This window comes from Homo sapiens, chromosome 5, assembly GCF_000001405.40.
Source record: "Homo sapiens chromosome 5, GRCh38.p14 Primary Assembly".
Lineage (NCBI taxonomy): Eukaryota > Metazoa > Chordata > Mammalia > Primates > Hominidae > Homo > Homo sapiens.
The window spans coordinates 134,371,396-134,396,076 of NC_000005.10; the positions used below are offsets into that span (position 1 = coordinate 134,371,396).

The 24,681-nt window shown below is 41.3% G+C and overlaps 2 protein-coding genes across 3 annotated transcripts in view, besides 1 other annotated feature; one reads left to right on the top strand and one right to left on the bottom strand.

Moving 5' to 3' along the window:
- Positions 1-229, bottom strand: part of CDKL3 (cyclin dependent kinase like 3) — an 88,280-nt gene extending 88,051 nt beyond the window's left edge. Inside the window, exon 1 of one of the 2 annotated variants that reach the window (XM_024446093.2) lies at positions 3-229. In XM_024446093.2, coding sequence (XP_024301861.1) covers positions 3-229 — 227 coding nt within the window. The remainder of the gene's footprint in view (positions 1-2) is intronic. The other variant, XM_024446099.2, reaches the window with a different exon arrangement.
- UBE2B (ubiquitin conjugating enzyme E2 B) lies at positions 174-20,713 on the top strand. Its single transcript, NM_003337.4, has 6 exons — positions 174-244; positions 2,988-3,068; positions 5,274-5,299; positions 9,324-9,413; positions 16,930-17,018; positions 18,830-20,713. The coding sequence occupies exons 1-6, from the start codon at positions 201-203 to the stop codon at positions 18,956-18,958; spliced, it is 459 nt and encodes a 152-aa protein (NP_003328.1). The 5' UTR covers positions 174-200; the 3' UTR covers positions 18,959-20,713.
- Positions 407-506: an enhancer, noted in NCBI's record as "active region_23143". NCBI's record gives its function as "activates an Ori minimal core promoter by ATAC-STARR-seq in GM12878 lymphoblastoid cells {active_cell/tissue: GM12878}" and the evidence as "EXISTENCE:reporter gene assay evidence [ECO:0000049][PMID:35858748]".

Here is a 24,681-nt window from a genome sequence, read left to right on the forward strand (position 1 = left end):
ACACTGTGGTAGCGGCGGAGGGCGGAGGGATCCGGAGGCGGCGGAGGGAGACGTCATTGCAGGGTTGTTTGTCAGTCTCGGCGGCGGCGGCGGCGGCGGCGGCGGCGGCGATCCACAGTGATTCGGCCGCCGCGCCGGGGGGTGGGGGGGCTGCGCGGGACTTTTTTTTTTTCAGACTGACCGCGGGGCAGCTGCGGAGCATGTCGACCCCGGCCCGGAGGAGGCTCATGCGGGATTTCAAGCGGTAAGGGCCTTCACCTTCGCCTAGATGACGGCCCCTCAAAGCTGCGGGGCTGCAGGGCGTGGATCCCAGACACCTTCCCCTTTGTGACCCTCAGAGGGCCGGCTGTGGGCCCAGCGGGACTGGCGGAAGCCGGGTCCTAGCCTCGGCCCTACTCCCATAAGCTTTGCCGCTCGTTCTGGCGCCCGAAGAAATTTTGATACTGCTTCCCCTCCCCACAAAAAGTAAAACGGTGTCGATCGACTGGTCTAGGGTTCCCTGCTGCCCATTTCGGCCAGCTGCCCGGCGTCTCGCCCAGGCGATCAGACATTATCCGCCCGCCCCTGCACCCTGCGGCGCCCCCTTCTTGTCCCCTCAAAGTGAGCTCCTGCGGGAGCTTGTTCCTCTCCGGCAGCACCAGTCAGCTTTGTTTCACGGCCCCGCCGTCTTCTCCGAGGAGCCGTGTTGGGGCGAACCCCTCTCCCGACTCCTGCCAATCCTTTCCATTTGTGCCCTGAGGGTGGGGTCCAGTGCGTGAGGCCCGGAGGTTAACCCATCCCCCGAAACCCGACTCTGTCCCCGCCCGCCTGAAAGGACCTTGGGAACTGACTTAGAGATCTGGGACCTTAGAGCTGGCCACCCCGGCTGCCAGTGCTTTCTGGAACTCAGCTCTGGCTGGTGAAGAAAGCCCCTATCTATAGCCTCCCGAGTCTGGAAAAATGCCTTCCCTTAGACTGGCGCTAATCTGATACTCCCTGGGCCTCCTTTGGTAAATAAAATAGGGTTTTGTTAGGAGGTATTGGGGTTGTGAGATAGAAAATGATTATTCCGTTGTTTACCTTTTATTGGATACTTAGAGACATAGAAAAAATAAGTGAGAAAACATCATTTTGATACTCTGCACATTTTTCTTAACATTTTTTCTGGGGACACCTGCCCTAATTGAACAAAATATCTAGCATAAAAACTTAGATTTGTCGCTCAGGAAGTCACCTCTCAGCTATTATAAAGCCTATGTGAGGCACTTGGATTTGGCCAACTTATTTAATTCATTCGTAGCTTCTCTTAGCCATTTAAAGGTAGGCGTCAAGCAGTGCAGTTCTTCTAAGGCTTCTGTTCGTGGTGGCCTAATTTGCTTGAGATTGACTAAAAACCATTTTTTTAATGTGGACTAGTTGCAAATTATGATGCCCCATGAAAAACAACTGCATATGTATTTGTGTGTGTATATAATGTAGCATTTTTAATTGAGGTTACAGTCTCTGAAAGGAGATGCCCTTTTTGGTGCAAAAGTCATCTTTCTAAAGCTTGAAATCAGCGTATTTGATTAGCACTCATGACAAATTCAGATAGTAAACTAGTTCATGTCATTGTCGCCCTGGCTCCTTACTGTAATGCTCTGCTTAATTCTGAGTTGAATGCATGGCACCTTTTGTAGTTTCCAGAGATCTGCAGGTTACAAGAATTTGACTATGACGAATGTTGGAAAGCCTTGTGTTGAGTCTCCTGATCTGAGAGGTGGATTTGGTGTTAGTGCAGAGCCTTTAAAATAGGGACTGGCAGAAAACCTACTAATTACTTTTTAAAGCCATTGCTGTTTGAAGCAAAAGGAATAGAGTAAATCTGCTGCCTAATACTAGTTTCCTAGTTAAATTTAATGTGTTTTCAGTCATTTTGTGTTTACACTGAGGTTTGCTTTTTTTTTTTTTCTTGTAGCCATTTTGCAGAAGTAGCCTGGTTAGGATACACAGTCTTTGCATGTTTAGAGCAGCAAAATCAATGGTTCTGTAAAAATATTACTTGCTTTTGAGGTTTTAAACTTTTTTTGGTATAAGAGGACAGTCTATATACATCAATTCTTTTTTTTTAAATATATTTTAATTATACTTTAAGTTCTAGGGTACATGTGCACAACGTGCAGGTTTGTTACATATGTATACACATGTGCCATGTTGGTGTGCTGCACCCATTAACTCGTCACTTGCATTAGGTATATCTCCTAATGGTATCCCTCCTTTCTCCTCCCGCCCCACAACAGGCCCCTGTGTGTGATGTTCCCTTTCCTGTGTCCAAGTGTTCTCATTGTTCAATTCCCACCTATGAGTGAGAACACGTGGTGTTTGGTTTTTTGTCCTTGCGGTAGTTTGCTGAGAATGATGGTTTCCAGCTTCATCCATGTCCCTACAAAGGACATGAACTCATCCTTTTTTATGGCTGCATAGTATTCCATGGTGTATATGTGCCACATTTTCTTAGGCTAGTCTATCATTGTTGGACATTTGGGTTGGTTCCAAGTCTTTGCTATTGTGAGTAGTGCCGCAATAAACATACGTGTGCATGTGTCTTTATAGCAGCATGATTTATATTCCTTTGGGTATATACCCAGTAATGGGATGGCTGGGTCAAATGGTATTTCTAGTTCTAGATCCCTGAGGAATCGCCATACTGTCTTCCACAATGGTTGAACTAGTTTACAGTCCCACCAACAGTGTAAAAGTGTTCCTATGCATCAATTCTTGAAGAGATAATATTGAAAGAGGGATGATTCTCAAGCCCTTTCAATTTTTAGATAATTTGGAGAGGTATTTAATAAGTATATATACCTGGTTAATATATTTAAGTCATATGGTTCATTTTAGTTCACAATAACAAGGAAATGGAGTTAGTCTGTGTCTCAAAATAGATGGTATAGTGTCTGTAGGTGTTTACGTGGCCTCCTTAGTGGCCTTAATGTTCAACTTTTTAAATTACCACGCTGGATTTCCAGGTTACAAGAGGACCCACCTGTGGGTGTCAGTGGCGCACCATCTGAAAACAACATCATGCAGTGGAATGCAGTTATATTTGGGTGAGTTGAAAGGTTTAACAAATAATAGGTGTGTGCTGAATCTTTAAGAAAAGTAAACATATAACAACTGTCTAGGAAAAGAAACTGAGGTGGAATGAGAGATCTTAAGGACTAAAACTGCAAGATAAATTAGAAAAAAAAAATATTTCAATTAGAGTTTTGGCCCAGCACAGTAGTAGCTCAACGCCTGGGAGGATCGCTGGAGCCCAGGAGTTCACCAGCCTGGGCGATATAGTGAGACAGTGAGACTCTGTCCCCTCCCCACCAAAAAAAGTTTTGGCCCAGTCTGGGCAACATAGTGAGCCCTTGTCTCTACAAAAAGTATAAAACTAGCTGAGCATGGTGGTGCATACCTGTGGTCCCAGCTACTTGGAAGGCTGAGGCAGGAGGATCACTTGAGCCCAGAAGTTTGAGGCTGCAGTGTGCCATGATTGTGCCACTGCCCTCCAACATGGGCAGCCAGCAGAGCCAAGATCCTGTATCAAAAAAAAAAAGGAAAAAGTTTCAGCAGTTATATAAAGTTTATTTGCTCTTTGATGTTATTACATATGGTTTTATAATCTCTTGGGGTTTTACTTTTAAAATACTATTCAAAACTAAATGGAATGGAATAATAAAGGAGAAACAATAAGTTACTTTATATAAAACATATCACGCAAATGCTCTCATTCTGTTGGAGCTGTTAAAAGGTTTGGAACCAAAAATATTAAGAACTTCCACTGTGGCAAGAATTTAAGCGAAAATGATTCACAGCCCAGTGTGAAATAACAGAATGCAGCCATTTGAGAAGCAGTTGTAAATTTTACCTACTATGTATATTGCGTATATGCTTTTTAATTTAAAATTTCCTTATGCTTTTTCTTTGGTTTTTCTAGACTTGATCTATTTTTTCTTTCATTCCTTTGAAACTAGAGTTTTGCATTAAAAAGTAAAAGGAGTATGTTGATAAACAGAATTCTGACACTACAGAATCAGCTACAAGAGTCTACATTTAAAGACTAGTGGAAAATGAGTGAAGTTCATCCTCATAAAGTACTTCTGAATTTGAGTTGAATACATGGCACCTTCAGGATATTATCCTGCTGCTTTGAGATCCTGAATATGCCTTGCAAGTAATAATTAAACTTTATGCTCCATCCTGGCTAACACGGTGAAACCCCGTCTCTACTGAAAATACAAAAAAAAATTAGCCGGGCGAGGTGGCGGGCGCCTGTAGTCCCAGCTACTCGGGAGGCTGAGGCAGGAGAATGGCGTGAACCCCAGGGGGCGGAGGCTGCAGTGAGCCGAGATTGCGCCACTGCACTCCAGCCTGGGCGACAGCGAGACTCCGTCTCAAAAAAAAAAAAAAAAAAAAAAAAAAAAACTTTATGCTGCTGCTTAGGAAAGATGAAATTGGGATGTGGGGACAAGGATCTGAGCAAACAAATCTGGCTTTTTGGTGACAACTATGCTTAGCCTATTTGAACAAGAGTTATGGCTCCATTGGAAAGCAGGACACTTGGGTTTAGCATCATAACTAGAGTATTGCTTTACATCATATTGCTGTAAAATGAAAAGATGTCTTTTCCTCTTAAGAATATACATATGGGCCAGGTGCGGTGGCTCACGCCTCTAAATCCCAGCACTTTGGGAGGCTGCGATGAGTGGATCACCTGAGGTCAGGAGTTCGAAACCAGCCTGGCCAATATGGTGAAACCCCGTTTCTACTAAAAATACAAAAATTAGCCAGGCATCTGTAATCCCACCTACTCGGGAGGTTGAGGTAGGAGAATCACTTGAATCCAGGAGAAGGAGGTTGCAGTGAGCTGAGATCATGCCATTGCACTCCAGCCTGGGGGACAAGAGCAAAACTCCGTCTCAAAAAAAAAAAAAAAAAAAAAAAAAAATATATATATATATATACACATATGTACAAAATGACTGGTCAGTATTAATGAAAGTTTTTTTGTGCTAAAATTATGGGCAAGTTTTTTTGTTTGGTTTGGTAAAACCACCCTAAAAAGAAAGCTTAGAATGAAAGTTAATACTTTATGCCTGGGTCTATGAAAATCCAGGGCTAAGGTGTTACTAAACTCTATCTTAAAACTCCACAAATCATCAGAATGAGTCCCTCTTTTTCTGTTGAAGTTTATCCTTTCCATTCTTGAAAATCAAGAAAAAGCAGAATGAGAAACTTCTTTTAATCAGAAATCTTCTTGTTTTCAGACCAGAAGGGACACCTTTTGAAGATGGTAAGTCATACTCATTATGTTTTCTATAGTGTTATGAGGTTACTTTTTAGTAGAAAATTGTAACACCAACATATCTACTTGAAGCCATTTTCTATGGTTAATAGGCCAAGTTAAAAGTAAAGCTATGGAAAATTTATACTTCATAAGGGACTTCTTCCCACAGCAGCTTGGTCACCTCCATTGGTAACCAATATTAAAGGTTACTTTAATATTTTCCTGTATAACTGTAAGCCTGGATGGCAGTGTTTATGTTGAGAATAGTTTAAATTTAGGTGGCCTTAAAGATATCTCTGAGGTGAACACCAGAAGAGTAAATCATGCTTTTTTACTTTGTTATCTTTGATATTGACAGGGTGTTGAGCTGAAATTTTTCATAAACATACATAGCTGCCAGTAGTTTCAAGTACTACTAGCATTTAACACCCATAAGTAGTTATCATTTTGCATAATCTTTGGCATCTCAAGTTGGGTATTTTCATCAGGGGCTAGGAAAATGGGAAACTAGTTCTAATACCGAATTTATAATTGAACTTATCAAACTGATTTTAACCAGGAACTTAGACTTTTCCCAATTGTAGTGTTGGATTTTAAGAAATTATTAAACATCTTTGTTATCATTAACAAAATGACTTCAGAATTAATCCATCAAAAATATTTATCCGAGAATACTGACTGCAGCAGTTTGTAAGGACGTAACCTGAATGTCCAGTAGGAGAAATGGTTAAGCAAATTATGATGTATCTGGATTCTGGAATATGTACCTGTTAAAGAATAAGGTAGATTTGGACATACTGTCTTAAGAGGACAAAAAAACTGCACGATAATGTTTGTCGTAGCATCACATTTTTAGCAAATACATATATGCATGTGTGTCTATGTTAAAGGGTTATATATCAAACTGTTACCAGTGATTATCTGTGGGGGGGGTAAGGAGTTGAAGGAGGTACTTAAGGACGTTACCTTTTTTCTCTACATCAAGGGTTCTCAAGTGTGTGATCCATAAACCCCTTGGGGTCTTGGAGACCCTCTCGGGGGACCCATACGATCAAATCTCATCATACTAAGACTGTTGACCTTTGCATTGATGGTACAAAACCAATGGTGGCTATAACTACACCTAAGTAGTTTCGTATCTTAGAACAAATCAAGGCATTAGACAGTGGCACCAAACCATACTAATAGTGATTATATTCTTTGCATTTTAAAAGATGCCAGTTGGCCAGGGGCAGTAGCTCACACCTGTATAGCCAGCACTTTGGGAGGCTTAGGCAGGTGGATCATGGATCACTTGAGCCCAGGAGTTTGAGACCAGCCTGGGGGAGCCCTTCTCTACAAAAAATTAGCCAGGCATGGTGGTACATGCCTTTAGTCCCAGCTACTTGGGAGGATTACCTGAGCCCAAGAGGTCAAGGCTGCAGTGAGCCCTGGTGGAGCCACTGAGCTCCAGCCTGGGTGACAGAGTGAGACCTTGTCTTTAAAAAAGTTACCAATTTTTCTTAATTTCTTAATTTAAAGACATTTTTATTAGTATTAGGAAGCTCTGGACCCTTGAGTATCTATGTGGGTTTTTTTTGTTTGTTTTTTGTTTTTTGTCTCGCTCTCTCACCCAGGCTGGAGTGCAGAGGCGCAATCTTGGCTCACTGAAGCCTCCGCCTCCGAGGTTCAAGTGATTCTCGTGCCTCAGCCTTCCAAGTAGCTGGGATTACAGACATGTGCTACCATGCCCGGCTAATTTTTGTATTTTTAGTAGAGATGGGGTTTCACCATGTTGGCCAGGCTGGGGCCTTAAACTCCTGACCTCAGGTGATCTGCCCACCTTGGCCACCCGAAGTGCTGAGGCATGAGCCACACCCAGCCGAGTATCTGTCTTTTTAATATTCTGTATGATATGAAGTAGAATGTATGAACAAAGCACTTCTGCATGTCATAGTATGATAGTTGTCTGGAAGAAAAGCACTTCTACAGTTGTTTGAGTTGCAATTTGAATGACTTTTTTTCATGGAACATTTTTTACTTGAAAATACAGACAAGCTGTGGTTATTCAGGTTTGAATATATGGCAGACATATTCTCAGAAGTAATGTAATAAGCTCGGTGTGGTGGCGGGCACCTGTAATCCCAGCTACTCGGGAGACTGAGGCAGGAGAATTGCTTGAACCTGGGAGGCAGAGGTTGCAGTGCGCCAAGATCGCACCATTGCACCCTAGCCTGGACAACAGAGCAAGACTCCATCTCAAAAAAAAAAAAAAAAAACAGTGGGGGGATCTAAGTGGGTTGTTAGGTTAAGGATAGCAACTGAAGATATTTGTTGCTGTTGATAAAATAACAGCTTCCTGATACTTACTTTTTGATGAGATTAGTGGGTAGTGTTACCTGTTGTGATTTTTTTGATAGTATATAATGGAATATGGCAACATTTGGAGGATCTGTAAACTCGAGTCACCCAATATTTTGCAGATGTCCCATGAATAATAATACAAAACCATGAATGGGTAAAACACGTATGTGAAGTGAACAGATTTTAATGTAACTGAGTACAAAAAGTTGACTAATAATTTCAGATTCTATATTGCAGCAAACCTTTAAAAGAACTACCATTTCTTCTTTGGTATAATATCAAAACAGAATAGCTACAGTCACCTGAAAAAGCTATTCAAATACTACTTTTTTTGCTGGGTGCAGTGGTTCATGCCTGTAATCCCAGCACTTTGGGAGGCCAAGGTGGGCAGATCACCTGAGGTCAGGAGTTCAAGACCAGCCTGGCCAACATGGTGAAACGTCGTCTCTACTAAAAATACAAAAATGAGCCAGGCGGGATGGCACGTGCCTGTAATCTCAGCTACCCCAGAGGCTGAGGCAGGAGAATTGCTTGAACCCAGGAGACGGAGGCTGCAGTAAGCTGAGATGGTGCCATTGCACTCCAGCCTGGGCAACAGTGAGACTCTGTCTCAACAAAAAAAAAAAAAAAAAAGGAAGAAAGAAAGAAAGTACTCCTTTTTTCAAGTACATATTTGTGTGAGGCCAGATTTTCTTCATGTACTTAAACTAAACGGTATTGTAATAGATGGAGTGCAGAAGCAGATAAGAGAATCCAGCTATCTTCTGTTAAGCCAGTCATTAAAGAGACAGTTGCAAATATGTAAAACATTGCTTACACTTATCACCAACTTGGGGAGAAATATAATTTTAATTTATATTCTGTGTAATGGGTTTGCAGTTTAACCTACCTTTTTTTTTTGGAGACAGAGTCTTGCTCTTGTCACCCAGACTAGAGTGCAATGGCGCGATCTCTGCTCACAGCAACCTCCGCCTCCCAGGTTCAAGCAATTCTCTTGCCTCACCCTCCTGAGTAGCTGAGATTACAGGCACCCCCATACCCAGCTCATTTTTGTACTTTTAGTAGAGGTGGAGTTTGACCACGTTGGCCAGGCTAGTCTCAACTCCTGACCTCAGGTGATCCGCCCACCTTAGCCTCCCAAAGTGCTGGAATTACAGGCGTGAGCCACCCCACCTGGCTACAGTTATTTTTAATGAAGATTTTCTGAGTTAAAGTTTTTTTGTGTGTGTGAGACGGAGTCTTGCTTTGTCACCCATGCCAGAGCATAGCGGCATGATCTGGGCTCACTGCAACCTCCACCTCCTGGGAGGGTCCTTTGCCATGTGGTAGTCAGACCCTCTCAAAATCCTTTAACCAACTCCCATTCTAAGCTATAATAAACTATTTGTAGTTCTTCAAATATGCATTTTAAATCTTGGTAGCTAGGGCCTAGTTGCCTTCCAAAAATATGACAGTTAACACTCCCACCAATAGCAACATGAATGTGCTTGTTCCCCAACCGCTTGCCAATGCTGCGTGTTACCATTCTAACATAAATAGAGTATATTTAGGATGTTTTGTATGCCGAACCAACGTTGACATACTAACTTTTATGTGGTTGTACAAAAACCAGTATGCAGTTGAGAACTGATGAAGAGATTAAAAAGTCGTGCTTGTCTTTACTATAATTATTTTGTTTTCTCTCTAGGTACTTTTAAACTAGTAATAGAATTTTCTGAAGAATATCCAAATAAACCACCAACTGTTAGGTTTTTATCCAAAATGTTTCATCCAAATGGTAAGTAGCATTTTATAGATTTTGCAGATGATAGTGGGGAAAAGAGTTGTTTCCCTCCTTTTAGCTCTTTCACCTTACTTTTTACTGTTAGGGCTCACTTGTAGGTGTTGCTTCCATGTCCATGTGAGCCACGTATTTTGTTGTGGATTTTTTTTTTTTTTTTTTTTTTTTTTTTTGAGACGGAGTCTCGCTCTGTCGCCCAGGCTGGAGTGCAGTGGCGCGATCTCGGCTCACTGCAAGCTCCGCCTCCCGGGTTCACGCCATTCTCCTGCCTCAGCCTTGTGAGTAGCTGGGACTACAGGCGTCCACCACCACGCCTGGCTAATTTTTTATATTTTTAGTAGAGACGGGGTTTCACCATGTTAGCCAGGATGGTCTCGATCTCCTGACCTTGTGATCTGCCCACCTTGGCCTCCCAAAGTGCTGGGTTTGTTGTGGATTTTTGGTTTGTTTCTTATTTCTTCAGAGACAAAGTTATACTCTGTCACCCCTGCTGGAGTGCAGTGGTACAGTCACAGTTCACTGTTACCTCAAACTCCTGGGTTCAAGTAATCCTCCTGCCTCAGACTCCTAACTAGCTGGGACGACAGGTGTGGACCACCATGCCCAGCTAATTTTTTTGTTTGTTTTCTTTTTCTTTTTTGTAGACACAAAGTCTCTGTGTGTTGCCCAGGCTGGTCCTTGAACTCCTAGCCTCAAGCAGTCCTCCCACTTTGACCTCCCAAAGCACTGTGATTACAGGAATGGGCCATTTTTTCCAGCCTTTAGCTATGTTTCTGTAGCTAGACTCTTACAAAGCTTCCAAATTTGAGGTCAAGTTGTTTTAATAACTCCTGAATTAAAAGTAATACATGGTCGGGCATGGTGGCTCATACCTATAAACTCAGCACTTTGGGAGGCCAAGGTGGGCGGATCACCTGAGGTCAGGAGTTTGAGACCAGCCCGGCCAACATGGTGAAACCCCATCACTACTAAAAATACAAAAATTAGTCAGGCATGATGGTGGGCACCTGTAATCTCAGCTACTCAGGAGGCTGAGACAGGAGAATCACTTGAACCTGGGAGACGGAGGTTGCAGTGAGCTGAGCTCACAACACTGCACTTCAGCCTGGGTGACAAACCAAGACTCTGTCTCCAAAAAAACAAAGGTAATATGTAAGCCAGGCACAGTGGTGCACACCTGTAGTCCCAGCTACTCCAGAGGCTAAGGCAGGAGGGTGGCTTGAGGCCAGCCTAGGTAACATAGTAAGATCCTGTCTCTACTAAAAGAAATAGATAAAAGTATTATCTATTTATTTGTGGAATTGTGAAAAATAAGAAAAATCTGTTGGCTAAAATTAAGCTTTTCAAAAATACAATTTTGGCCAGGCGTGGTGGTTCATACCTATAATCCCAGCACCTTGGGAGGCCAAGGTGGGAAGGTTGCTTGAGACCAGGAGTCAGAGACCAGCCTGGGCAACATAGCGAGGTCCCATCCCTATAAAAAACAAAAAAAATATCAAGGCATGGTGGCGCACACCTGTAGTCTCAGCTACTTATGGAGGCTGAGGTGAGAGGATCACTTGAGCCCAGGAGGTCAAGGCTGCAGTGAGCCATGACTGTGCCACTGCACTCTAGCCTGGGCAACAGAGCAAGATTCTATCTCAAAAGTACAATTTTGCATATACAAAGTTGGAGTCAATGACCACACACAGTGGTTCATGCCTATTAATTCCAGCACTTTGGAAGGCTGAGGAGGGTGGATTGCTTGAGCCCAGGAGTTCAAGACCAGCTTAGGCAACATGGTGAAACCCTGTCTCTACAAAAAATACAAAAATTAGCTGGGCACAGTGGTGCGTACCTGTATTCCCAGCTACTAGGGAGGCCGAGGTGGGAGAATTGCTGGAGCCTGGGAGGTTGAGGCTGTAGCAAGCCATGATTGTGCCACCGCTCTCCATCCTGGGTGACAAAGCAAGACCCTATCTCAAAAAAAAAAAAGAAAATTGGGATGTTATATATAAAATAAGGTGTTTTTTTTGGTTTGTTTGTTTTTGTTTTTTTAATATACTGTGAACATTTTCCTTAATAAATATTCTGGGCTGAGTGCAGTGGCTCACGCCTGTAATCCTAGCACTTTGGGAGGCCAAGGCAGGTGGATCATGAGGTCAAGAGATCAAGACCATCCTGGTCAACGTGGTGAAACCTCATCTCTACCAAAAATACAAAAATTAGCTGGGCATGGTGGCGCATGCCTGTGGTCCCAGCTACTCGGGAGGCTGAGGCGGGAGAATTGCTTGAACCCGGGAGGCGGAGGTTTCAGTGAGCCAAGATCGCGCCACTGCACTCCAGCCTGGCAACAGAGCAAGACTCCATCTCAAAAAAATAAATATTCTGATACATCATTTTTAATGGCAAAATGTTCTGTTACATAGATTTATCATATTTTTAACCAGTGTCCAATTGTTGATAGTTTTCAGTTGTTTACAATTTTAAATAGCACTTTGAACATTCTTAAAAATCTTAAAAATTTTTTTGTTGTTGAGAAAAACACTTGCTGTGTCACACAGGCTGGAGTACAGTCGTGTGATCTCGACTCATCGCAACCATTACCTCCCGGGTTCAAGTGATTCTCTTGCCTCAGCCTCCTGAGTAGCTGGGACTGCAGATGTGTGCCACCATACCCAGCTTTTTTTTTTTTTTTTTTTTTTTTTTTGAGACAGAGTCTTGCTCTATCGGCCAGGCTGGAGTGCAGTGGCATGATCTCGGCTCACGGCAACCTCTGCCTGTTGGGTTCAAGTGATTCTCTTGCCTCAGCCTCCCAAAGCTGTATATCCAGCTAATTTTTATATTTTTAGTAGAGACGGGGTTTCACCATGTTGGCCAGGCTGGTTTTGAACTCCTGACCTCAGGTGATCCGCCTGCCTTGGCCTCCCAAATGTTGGGATTACAGGTGTGAGCCACCGTGCCCGGCCTCAAAATAAATCTTTTCAGATACTAATTATTATTTTGATTGAGTTTTTTGTTTGTTTTTTTAATTGCTGCATAACAACTAGACTAAGTTTTTTAAACGTGGGGATTACTGGGTCAGAGGCTTGTGTGTTTTTAAAGCTTTTAATGTCATTTTCCATTTTTTTCCTTCAGTGGAATTGTTCTCATTTTCACTTCATAGAGTAGTTTGTTACTATTCTTCACTAAACGATGGCTAATTCCTTTGTAATAAATTTGGTCTTCCTTGACATCTTGCTGTTTACATCTATTACATTTATATTTCTGTATTATAAATTACCATGTGAAAGACTTCTCCAAATTCTTGAAGCTCCTCTTCAGTCTCACAGCCTTTGCTCATTTAAATGTGGCGTTCCCCATCAGCCAACTCACTTTCAGGAAGAACATTTTCAGAGGTCCTCTTGGTCGTGTCTCTAGTACTGCAGAATACATTATAGAGCTCCCTACCCAGAGGAGAGATGTGTTTCGTTTGTGTCTGGAATCAAGGTGACTTTCCAGTAATAGATACTACCTTTGGCACTTCATTTCTGTGAAGTTGCTTTTTCCTTCTAGCTGCCTTTTTTGCTTTTTTTTTTGTCCAAGACAGGTTTAATTTTATTTTCTGTTTCTCTTTTTGGGGAAGTTCCCAGGTCATTTACCATTTATTCCACTGTAGCTTTATCTTGCTTAGACTTGTTATTGAGTCAAACCAAACCAATTATGATAAGGGGGTCTTTAAATAAAGGTGGGAAAGACTGTAGAATGAGTAAGGGATATAAATATAGGGTTATCACTTAAGCAAATTTTTAAGAAACCACAGTGTATTTGGTTTTCACATCTCTTCATATTTATAGCATGGTTTCCCTTTTATTCTGCTGAGTACTTTTTTATAATTTAACTTTCTGGTTTATTTTTTTAAAAACATTTATTGAAATATAATTTACACACCAAGCTGTTGACCCACTTAAATTGTACAACTCAAATGGTTTTTAGCATAATCATAACCATCACCATGACCACTTTAAAAACAACAAAAAGCCCCATAACTATTATCTTAGCAGTCAACTCTGTTTGTCTTAACCCTCCCCGCTTCAGTCCTAGGTAAGTGTTACCCCTAACGTGTTTTCCCTCTAGATTTGACTATTCTGGATATTTCATATAAATGGAATCTTATACTATGTGGTCCTTTGTGACTGACTTCTGTCACCCAGCATAAAGTTTTCAAGGCTCATCTATGTTGTGATATAATAGTATCTGTGATTCATTTTTTATTGTTGAATAATATTCCACTGTATGGATATTCTGTATTTTGTTCATTAGTTGATAAGATATTTGAGTTCTGATTTACTTTTGGATTCTCAGAAATAGTTACTCAGAACTTTAAAATTGTTTTACACTTTTATGGGTTTTACAGAGTTACTAATTTTTGCTTTGGGCAGCTAAGTTTGATGTTTCTGTGGGATGGACAGTAAGTTGGCTTTGAAGCTGAGAGATAGATCTAGGCTAAGGCCAATGATTGGGAATACTGAGCACATGGATGGTAACTGAGGCCACAGGAGTCAATAGGATTGCCCAGTGTGTGTGTAAAGGGTAAGAAGGAAAAGGGCTTAGGATAGAGTCTGGAAGAATCACAGTGTTTAAGTGTGATTTGCTCCCCACTCTCTGTTATGGTTTGCTCCATGAAATGGTATCTGTAACATTTAAATGAATTTACTCTTTGTTTTACATAGCAGTTCACTTCTAGAAATTTTTTCTACAGATAGTCTCACAATTGGGCAAATACTTAACGTTCATTGCTTGTATTTTCACAGAATCAGTCTAAAAAGGGAAGAACCCTCCCAGATGTTCAGGACTTTTGATACCTGTTAGTCACTTGATTTTTTTTTTTAATGAAAGGAATATGTATACTCATTGCACAAATAAATCATAAACACAAGGAAGGATAAAGAAAATAAGATAGGCCAGGCACGGTGGCCCACGCCTGTAGTCCCAGCACTTTGGGAGGCTGAGGCAGGTGGATCACGAGGTCAGGACTTCGAGACTAGCCTGGCCAGCATAGTGAAACCCCGTCTTTACTAAAAATATAAAAAATTATCCAAGCATGGTGATGTGTGCCTGTAATCCCACCTACTTGGGAGGCTGAGGCAGGAGAATTGCTTGAACCCAGGAGGCGGAGGTTGCAGTGAGCCGAGATCACGCCACTGCACTCCAGCCTGGGTGACAGAGCGAGACTCCATCTCAAAAAAAAAGAAAAAGAAAAGAGGATCATCTGCTGGGGGCGCTGTGGCTCACACCTGTAATCCCAGCACTTTGGGAGACCGAGGTGGGCAGATCACCTGAGGTCAGGAATTCGAGACTAGCCTGGCCAACATGGTAAAACCCCATCTCTACTAAAAATACAAAAATTAGCTGGGTCGTGGTTGTACATGCCTGTGATCCCAGCTACTCGGGAGGCTGAGGCAGGAGTATTGCTTGAACCCAGGAGGTGGAGGTTGCAGTGAGCCGAGTTCTCACCACTGCACTCCAGCCTGGACAACAGACTGAGAATCCATCTCAAAAAAAGAAAAAAAAAAAGGGCCGGGCACAGTGGCTCATGCTTGTAATCCCAGCACTTTGGGAGGCCGAGGCAGGTGGATCACCTGAGGTCAGGAGTTCGAGACCAGCCTGGCCAACATATGGCAAAACCCCGTCTCTACTAAAAATGCAAAAATTAGCTGGGCGTGGTGGTGGGCACCTGTAATCCCAACTACGTGGGAGGCTGAGGCAGCAGAATCCCTTGAACCTGGGAGGCGGAGCTTGCAGTGAGTTGAGATTGCACCATTGCACTCCATCCTGGGCAACAAGAGCGAAACTCCATCTCAAAAAAAAAAAAGGAAAAGAAAATAAGATCATCCATAACCCTACTATTACAAATATCCACTACTTACATTTTGACATTCGGTCTTAGAAATGTTTTTTGACTACATATACTTTAAATGAATTTATATAAAACTTTTTAATCAAAATAGGAAATTATAAATAATTAAAAACTTATTTTTAAGGTAATAGTCTGTGGATGTCTTACTCTATAAACAGTAGATATGTATCATTTCTGGTGATTGTGTTGCTATTGCTTATATGAATGTATCAGTTGTTTATTTAGCCAGTTCCCTCTTTTATGGACCACAAGGTAGAATTAGTTTTTCACTTTTTTTTTTTTTTTTTTAAGATAGAGTCTCGCTCTGTCGCCCAGGCTGGAGTGCAGTGGCGTGATCTGAGCTCACTGCAACCTCTGCCTCCTGGGTTCAAGCAATTCTTCTGCCTCAGCCTCCTGAGTAGCTGGGACTACACGCATGCACTACCATGCCTGGCTAATTTTTGTATTTTTAGTAGAGACAGGGTTTCACCATGCTGGCCAGGCTGGTCTCGAACTCATGACCTCATGATCCACCCGCCTCGGCCTCCCAAAGTGCTGGGATTATGGGTGTGAGCCACTGCGCCTGGCCTTCTACTCTTATAAGTAGTATTATAGTGAACATCCTGTAAGTAAATCTTTGTGCATGTCCACGTTTATTTCCTTAATTTCTAGGAGTGTAATTGCTATGTCAAAAATAAGCAGTTTTTTAAAAGCTTTAAGAATATTTAGAAATACGGAATTTAAATAGATTGCTAAATGATGTGTGTTGAAGAAATTTAACTCAAAGCCTCCTGATCATAACATGCTGTCTTAGTTCATTTTCTGCTACAACAGAATAGCAGGGACTGATAATTTGTAAATTTGTAAATAATAGTAGTTTGTTTGGCTCATGGTTCTGGAGACTGGGCAGTCCAAGAGCATGGCGCCAGCACCTAAGCAAGGTCCTTGGTGCTGTGACATCCCATGGTGGAAGGCAGAATGACAAGTGAGCACACAAGACATAAGAAAAGGTGCCAAACTCATCCTTTTATCTGGAGTACACTCCTGCCCTGAGCACTCATGACCTAAGCACTTCTTAAAGGTCCCACTTCTCAACAGTGTTACAATGGCAATTAATTTTTTTTTATTTAATTTTTTTACTTTTATTTTTTTGAGACAGGTTCTTACCCTGTCATCCAGGCTGGAGTGCAGTGGTGTGATCTCAGCTCACTGCAACCCCTGCCTCCTGGGTTCAAGCGATTCTCCTGCCTCAGCCTTCCAAGTAGCTGGGATTACAGGCATGTGCCACCATGCCCGGCTAATTTTTATAATTTTAGTAGAGATGGGGTTTCACTGTGTTGGCCCGACTGGTCTCAGACTCCTGACCTCAAGCAATCCTGCCTGCCTCGGCCTCCCAAAGTGTTCAGGACTGGCGTGAGCCACCGTGCCCAGCCTCCAGCAATTACATTTCAACATGAGATTTGGAGGGAACATTCAAACCATAGCAGGTGCAAAATAAGAGACCTTAGTTTTAAGACAGGTTATCCTGTGATACAGAAGAATTTAGTTATTACCTAATATTTAAAACTTCTAAGCCAAGCATTCTGTTTGGTAAAGATTTCTCTTAACTGTTAGATATGGCAGAGTGTGTAACTAATTTTAGTATTGTCTTTGCAGTGTATGCTGATGGTAGCATATGTTTAGATATCCTTCAGAATCGATGGAGTCCAACATATGATGTATCTTCTATCTTAACATCAATTCAGGTAAGTGTGTGTTAGGATGTATTATAATTTGTCAGTATTCTGTAGGATATAGTCAGCTCCTTAGCACACAGGTAACCAATGGCAGAGCTTGGACAAGAATCCATGCTTTTCAGCTAACTTTTCTCTTTCAGTAGTGCCTACTTGGGATCCAGTCTGCAGTCCCTTTCCTGATTGTGTAAGTTACATGTTCTCACAGGTCAAACCTAATTTGTGTCCATGAAGCATAGCCAAGGGTTGTGGAAAAGAAAAAATGGCTTGGAAAAACCATAGGAACCTAAAGAAACTGCCAAGTGTAGATAAGCATTGAGTATGTTACCCCATCCAAGAAATTCTATTTTAAAAAAAGAAAGGAAAACTAATGTAACCATTTGTCGAAGCAGTCTGGCAGAATATTTCAGAATAGATCTTTGAATGAAAATTTAGGAGGGGTGGAGTGAGGGGTGTTTCGGTTTTGTGGATTTGAGAGGAGCAGAAATAATATGTTGGTTTGTGATGTTCTTTTTAAAGTTTTTTCTCTCACACTTCTTTAATTGTTTTTTTTTTTTTTTTTTTTTTTGAGACAGTGTCTTGCTCTGTTGCCCAGACTGGAGTGCAATGGCACAATCTTGGCTCACCGCAACCTCTGCCTCCCGGGTTCAAGTGATTATCCTGCCTCAGCCTCCTGAGTAGCTAGGACTATAGGCACATGCTACCACGCCTGGCTAAGTTTTTGTATTTTTAGTAGAGATGGGGTTTCACAGTGTTAGCCAGGATGGTCTCCATCTGACCTCATGATCCGCCCGTCTGAGCCTCCGAAAGTGTTGGGATTACAGGCGTGAGCTACTGCACCAGGCCAGTTCTGGTCATCTTACAAGCGTTGTTTTTCAACCTTCCTATCTCATTCTCTTCCTGCTAAATGTATATGTTTTGTTGATTAAAGGAAATAAGACTTATCTCCCAAATTTACTGTCAAGACATTTGCAAAGTAACTGCAGTAATAGAGTTTAACCTTGGAAAATGTTGGTTACTGAGAATTATTGATATCTTAACCAAATTAAGCTGTTTATTTCCTTGGTTTAATGAGAACGTCTCAATATGCTTAAGAATATTCTTTTCTGATTTCTTTCAAATTATAGGTATTTTTTTCTTTTCTTTTTTCTTTTTTTTTTTTTTGAGACGGAATTTCACCCTTGTTGCCCAGGCTGGAGTACAGTGGCGCGATCTCAGCTCACTGCAACCTCTGCCTCCCGGGTTCAAGCAATTCTCCTGCCTCAGCCTTCCGAGTAGCGGATTACGGGCATGCGCCACCACACCCGGCTAATTTTGTATTTTTAGAAATTACGGGGTTTTCTCCATGTTGGTCAGGCTGGTCTCGAACTCCCTACCTCAGGTGATCTGCCCGCCTCGGCCTCCCACAGTGCTGGGATTACAGGCGTGAGCCACCACACCCGACCTCTTTTTCTTTTTTAATAGAAACAGGGTCTCCCTATGTTGCCCAGGCTGGGCTTGAACTGCTGGGCTCAAGGGATCCTCCTGCCTTGGCCTCCCAAAGTGTTAGGATTACAGGCACAAGCCACTGTACCCAGCTGAAATTATAGGTCTTAAGGCAATTGAGAACTTTATTTCAGAAGCTTAAGTTCCTTAGCAGCAGGAAACCCCATAGTATTTATCAAATCATTTCTAAAAGTATTTAGACCCAAAATTATATGACATGTTAATCTCTGAAGTAATTTGTTGTTTTGTATAACTTTTCTGTAATATATTCCATATCTGACCCCTGTTGGTATAAAGAACAACTATGCAAATCTGTTTTTTCTTTTCTTTCCTCCTAGTCTCTGCTGGATGAACCGAATCCTAACAGTCCAGCCAATAGCCAGGCAGCACAGCTTTATCAGGAAAACAAACGAGAATATGAGAAAAGAGTTTCGGCCATTGTTGAACAAAGCTGGAATGATTCATAATAGACAACTGGTCTGTTAATCTTTTTCATCATTGTTGTGTATAATTTACCTCTCATTAGAAAGGCTAACAAATTTTAAGTGCCACAGGTTTTAAGGATTCTGCAGAAAAAAAAGAAAAAAGTCCTTCAGTTTAGAACCTACAAAAGCTTGTGTATCTTGATTAATGTACTTTTTATTGCATGGTGTGAACTAAGTTATTGCTGCATAAATTTGTAATATATCCTGTTTGTATTTTTTTCCAAGTGTATAATGTTGGTGTGGAGTTTTCATGACAGAATATACACATTTTGTAAATCTGTACTTTTTTCAAATATTGAATGCCTTATTTTTGAATTCTTTAGATTTTTAAATTGGAGAAAAGCACTTAAAGTTTTTTATATATGAATATTACATGTAAAGCTGTTAAAATACATAACTTCAGTGCAAGAGACTTTGTCACTTATTTCCTTATGTGTGTAGGAGGGGTTAATAAGTCTCTAGCTCTCCATCTATTGATAGTTTCATTTACAATTTCAAAAGAACATTCTTATATTTTATCAAGGAAGTCTTCAAATTTGATTCTAAATAGCGATTATAATCTCCAACTTTATTTTGAATGTACCTCTATTAGTTTCAATTGAGTAATTCTAGACATAACTGGTTTGACTCTGTCCAACTCTGTATTTAGGCCATTTGTTACAGTTTCTTCATGCATTACTTACTGTTAAAACTGTACCTTTTGCGATTTCACAGTTGGCACTTCTGCCATGAGCAGAGAACTGATGCGACTTGTTTTGCTGCTTGGTAGCACTTTAAAAAATTTTTTGATTAATGAAGAAAGTAAAACCATAAACATTTGCCAAAAATTCATGCCCCAGTATTAGCAATGAATTAGTTGCATTGGTTTGAGAAAGGCACATATTGGAGGGAAATCTTGGTGTAACTTAAATATTTGAAAATTACCTTTAATGCAATGCATATCTGTTTATTCTGGGAAATGTTTTAATGCCAGGGCCTGCTGAGTTGCTTCTTCTTGTGGAGATTTTTTTTTTAATCTCCTGAGTTGTATAAAAGTTGTACTGCATCTTAGTTTACTGGATAAATTTAAAACACAGTATTGTAGAAAGCTAATACAAAACTATCCTATGCCTTCAAATAGTATAGAAAATGGAAAATATACAAGTAAATTCTGTTGAACCACCTGTGTAGTCTCTCTAGTAGTTAAAACAGCTATTTTAGTAACCCCAAGAGTTTCTTCTCATATCCATAAAATTGGATTACAGTATGGCAATATCTACAGCTTCTATTCATTATGCAACGTTTAACATTGATTGGATAAATGCTTATAGGCTGGGCCAGGTGGCTCCCACCTGTAGTCCCAGCACTTTGGGAGGCAAAGGCGGGAGGATCACTTGAGGCCAGGACTTTGAGACCAGCCAGGGCAACATAATAAGACTTTTCTCTACTTTAAATTTTTTAAAAAATTAGTTGGGCATAGTGGCACTTGCCTGTAGTCTCAGCTACTTAGGAGGCTGAGGTGGCAGAATAGCTTATGCCTAGGAGGTTGAGGCTGCAGTGAGCTGTGATTATGCCATTGCACTCCAGCCTGGGTGACAGAGCAATACCCTGTCTTTAAAAATAAAAGCTATTACTTGGCAAATTCTGAGGTAAGTGTATGATCTTAGGGAACTTTGATACAAATGGGAATTCACTCACTGGAATCGTGGCTCCCAAAAAGATGCTTTAATTGTGTGGTGCTTTTATAGTTTAGCTCCAAAACAAACTATAGACATTCACTCCAGTAACTCCTAGATTAAATATACAGTAGCTATGAGGGTCTGCCCTCTTATTTCATTAAATGCTATTTGGTTACTATTTCAACATCCATTTTTATCCTTGACCTGTTTTTGCCTTTCCCAGTTTAAAACAGGAAAATTTCAAGTATTGGTAGATAATTATAAAGAAGTTACATGTTACTTTACAGGGAGGTCAGTGAGTTCTAACTCCAAAATTCAACATATGCATAAAACTCATAGCATCCACATTCCTTTTCGAGAAAATCCTTAAGAAGGTTCAATCTATACATAACTCCTCACTTTTTTCTGCAGCCTTGGAACAGATTCCTATTTCTTTGGTTAAGTACCAGATATAAACCTTCGATTTACAAGGTTGAGTCATACAAAAAGTGTTTACTTTAAACTCTAGGTCAGTTTCATAAATGTATGGTAGGGCAAGAAGCTAGAACTAAAATGTTTATGTTGGTACAAAGTTATATTGATGGATTCATGTTAAAAAGTTTAAATGCATGTGTGATACAATTCCCTGTAACAATACCCCAGCACAGAATAATCTGTGAAAGGCACTATTCTAAGCACTTTTAACATATATTATTTCATTTCAAATTCACAAATACGGTGGCTCATGCCTGTAATCCCAGCACTTTGGCAGGCTGAGGTGGGCGGATCACCTGAGTTCAGGAGTTCAAGACCAGCCTGGCCAACATGGTGAAACCCCCCGTCTCTACTAATAATACAAAAATTAGCCAGGCGTGGTGGCAGGTGCCTGTAATCCCAGCTACTCGGGAGGCTGAGGCAGGCGAACCACTTGAACCTGGGAGGCAGAGGTTGCAGTGAGCCGAGACCTCACCACTGCACTCCAGCCTAGGCAATAAGAGTGAGACTCTGGCTCAAAAAAAAAAAAAAAGATGATAATGAAACTAGCCACAGATAGACAGATGAAGTGACTTGCTCAAGATCAACCAGCCAGTAAGTCATAGAACTGGGATTTGAACCCTATGTGGTCTTACCCAGAAATGTGCTATCTTTTAAGAGGTTGAGATTGGTTTTAGAAATTCTGCAGAACTTCAACATCCAAATTTGTGGAAATACTTTTAACTGATTTAGTTTTATACAGACTTGTGTCTACTCCAATGAAAAGGTTTCCTTTTTTTTCCGAGACAAGGTCTTGCTCTGTTTCCCAGGCTGGAGTCCAGTGGCTCCAGGCGGCTCACTGCAGTCTCAACCTCCCAGGCTTAAGCGGTCCTACCACCTCAACCTCCTGAGTAGCTGAGACTACAGATGCATGCCACCATGCCTGGCTAATTTTTTTACTTTTGTAGAGACAATGTCTCACTATGTTGGCCAGGCTGGTCTCAAAGTCCTGAGCTCAACTGATCATCCTGCCTCGGCCTCCCAAAGCACTGGGATTACAGGCATGAGCCACTGCACTCAGCTGAAAGGGTTTTCTTGACTACCATTTTCCACTGACTTTAGGAACATTTTCTGGTTTCTATATAAAGGACTGACTTATCAATAAGCCACATTTTTCCCCTTCCTGGAAATATCCTTGAGTCTGTAGGATTTCTCTCCTCCACCCACCCCCCACACCAAGTTTCATTAATATGAATAACTTTCCATGTTTCTTGTGTTCACAGAATGGCCTGGGAATTTTTAGTTGAGCCAAAAAGATGAATGAGCTGTGCCCATTACAAACCTTGTTGGTTATCTGACTGCTCCACAGCTCTAAATTCACACTCATGTAGGTGGAAGATAGCGGAGAAGTAAGTTATTAAAGGTGTGGTATTATTAACAGTTTGTTTAATGCTCATTAAACAAAGTTAACTGCCTACTTAGTTTATTCATTTAGTATTCTTTAAGAGATAACCCTGAGGATCATATTACACTTCAGAGTTATGTCTAAGGTGTTTCATATTTCAATTCTCCCAGGTTTTAAGAGGTAGGGATCAAATTTTGGAGTCTTGATGGTGTTTATGACAGTTCTTTTCCATTGCATTCAACAATGTAGAGTCCAAGTGGAATCTGAGTTATGTGAGAATCATGTATTTAAACAGAAAAGTGAATAGTTGGAAAGCTGTTCGCGGTAAATGAAATTATCCATAGGACAGAGGCCTTATGCCAAGATGGTAGCTCTATTACTTTAGTTCCCATCTAGTTAGGGGGGAATGAACTGTTACCAGATGGGGGAAAGATTAGTTATCATCAGTCATTCTAGCATATGACAGCAAAGATATTAGAAACTAAATTTTATTGTTGAAAGGACTTTTTCTTTATCGTTTCAACAAAGAAGACACAATTAAATGTGTGCCATTCTTCCTTCAGTGAATTCTCCTCACCATCACTACAGCTTTTTTTAAAAACAATTTTGTCAGAAATATCTTGAGCTTTCAGGGCTTCTTGTGTTCACAGGATGGCCTAGGAATTTTTAGTTGAGCCAAAAAGATGAATGAGCTGTGCACATTACAAACCCTGTTGGTTATCTGACTGCTCCACAGCTCAACATTAGTTCCTTGATGGCTGAAATCAAGAACTTTGGAAGAACTTGGGCTCCAGAGTTCTCTTTGGCATATGTAAGATTCAGACTTGTGTGAGAAACTTGCATATGAAATCTTTTGGGAAGTAAATGCTAAAGCTTGGCCACATGTTGCTTTTGTTCATCAGTGACTTGTGGATTAATATATTTGAGAAGACTCTAATATATAATAGAGTGGGCTCTGCCTAGAGAAAGCAAAGCCAATTAGAGAAAGTCTTCATATAATAGTAACAGTCTTGGTTACAAGTATGATCCTTCTGTAGTCTTTTAGGGGAGGTTGGCTCCTCTGAAGTCTTACTTGGAAGACAGATTCATAAAGTGCCACTGGGCTGGGAACTCCTGTAAAGGGAATCAAAGCCTGTCTCTGAAAAGATCCCCTGGGGTTCCATCAACCTGAACAATTTAGTCATTCTTCTGGAATGCAAGAGTTGTTCTCTACTGTGTCTTTAAGACTGCCAAAATGCAAACATAAAAGCACTTGAGGCAGATCCCCTTAAGAGCAAAGGGGGCTGGGTGCGGTGGCTCATGCCTGTAATCCTAGCACTTTGGGAGGCCGAGGCGGGTGGATCACCAGAGGTCAGGAGTTGGAGACCAGCCTGGGCAACATGGCGAAACCCCATCCCTAGTAAAATAAAAAATTAGCCAGGCGTGGTGGCGGGCGCCTGTAATCCCAGCTACTCGGGAGGCTGAGGCAGGAGAATCGCTTGAACCCTGGAGGCGGAGGTTGCAGTGAGCTGAGATTGCACCACTGCACTCCAGCCTGGGTGACAGAGCAAGACTCCATCTCAAAAAGCAAAGGGTTGGTTATGCTGCTTTATTTCTGAAGCCCAAGGGATATATTGCCCTCTTCCTTTCCACCTTTACAAACAAGATCTTTTGCCAATACCATAACCCACGAGTACAGGAGTGCTGGACTAGCAGCACTCCTGAAAAAGAGAATATCAAACAGAAAGGTTTGAAGTTCTTTGGCTGGCCCCTGTATAAAGTCATTGTATAAGATTGAATTGGAAATGTTATGTTTTTGTGTTGATGTTAGTACAAAGAAAACAACGGGAAGTTGCTTAGCTGTTAACCTCATTTTAAATCTAAGGGATATTTTCCCTTCCTATAGAAAAAGATGCTTTTGCTTGGCCTAATGACCATACTGGGCAGAGATCAGGGTGAAATCCAGAGACTTCAGCCCATGTTACTAGTTTCAGCTACAGGTGAGAAGTAGCACTGCAAAGAAAAGCTAAACTGGTAACCTTGCTGTGTAGCAGAGATCTTTGGTCATAGGAGTATTCCTGCATGGGCCATAAGGTTGTGGTTTGAGGTGGAAACTCCCTGAAACATCAGCTGGAAAGTCGCCTTTAGAATAAAGACAAAGAACCTTCTGCAAGCCAGCCAAGGCAATACCAGGACTTGGAGGTGGCAAG